The sequence below is a fragment of the Homo sapiens genome, chromosome 9 (genome assembly GCF_000001405.40).
Source record: "Homo sapiens chromosome 9, GRCh38.p14 Primary Assembly".
In the NCBI taxonomy this organism is placed as follows: Eukaryota; Metazoa; Chordata; class Mammalia; order Primates; family Hominidae; genus Homo; species Homo sapiens.
This window is the reverse complement of record NC_000009.12, coordinates 27,888,663-27,889,237: the sequence shown is the minus strand read 5'-3', so window position 1 is coordinate 27,889,237 and position 575 is coordinate 27,888,663. Positions and strand designations below refer to the sequence as shown.

The 575-nt window shown below is 42.3% G+C and overlaps 1 annotated feature.

Annotated features, from left to right (window-relative positions):
• Nucleotides 261-310: an enhancer, noted in NCBI's record as "active region_28255". NCBI's record gives its function as "activates an Ori minimal core promoter by ATAC-STARR-seq in GM12878 lymphoblastoid cells {active_cell/tissue: GM12878}" and the evidence as "EXISTENCE:reporter gene assay evidence [ECO:0000049][PMID:35858748]".

The following is a 575-nucleotide window of genomic DNA, read 5'->3' as shown; positions in this document are numbered from 1 at the left end:
AGTTATTAAATATTGATCAGGAAAGTTAAAACCTTTGGGGTGGCCCTGTTCTACTCTACTTCTATAATAATATTGGTTATGCAGCCTATAATCTGTAGTGCATTTTTAATGGGGGAATAAAAGAGGTTTAGGATTTGAGGGACATGGCCTCCATTTCACCATATTTTTATATTACACTGCCAGCTCCAAACAGTAAGCCTCTTGCTTACTCCCTTCTTCTTCTCTTTCCAAAACAAAATGAAAGTTTATCTTGGCTTTATCACCTTAGTTCTCTTCTTCAAAGTTCCTGCAGCTGAGCTGGACCAACAGCTTCCAGTCACCTGGTCAAGGTGTGCGCAGTACTGCACTTGGCCAGGAGAGGCAGCAGAGGCCTGGAGCCAGGTGGCCATGTGGTCTAATGCAGCTTTGATGGTGGAAAGATGAGTCGGAACTTCTTGATCTCTCACCACAAGACCACACTAAAATTGTCAGTGCACCAAGCATAGCCTGAGCAGAAGGGCATCAGTGGTTCCATTGGTTGATTCAACATTTGATGAAGAAATTGAAAATTAATTTCACCTTTTTAACCTGGTATG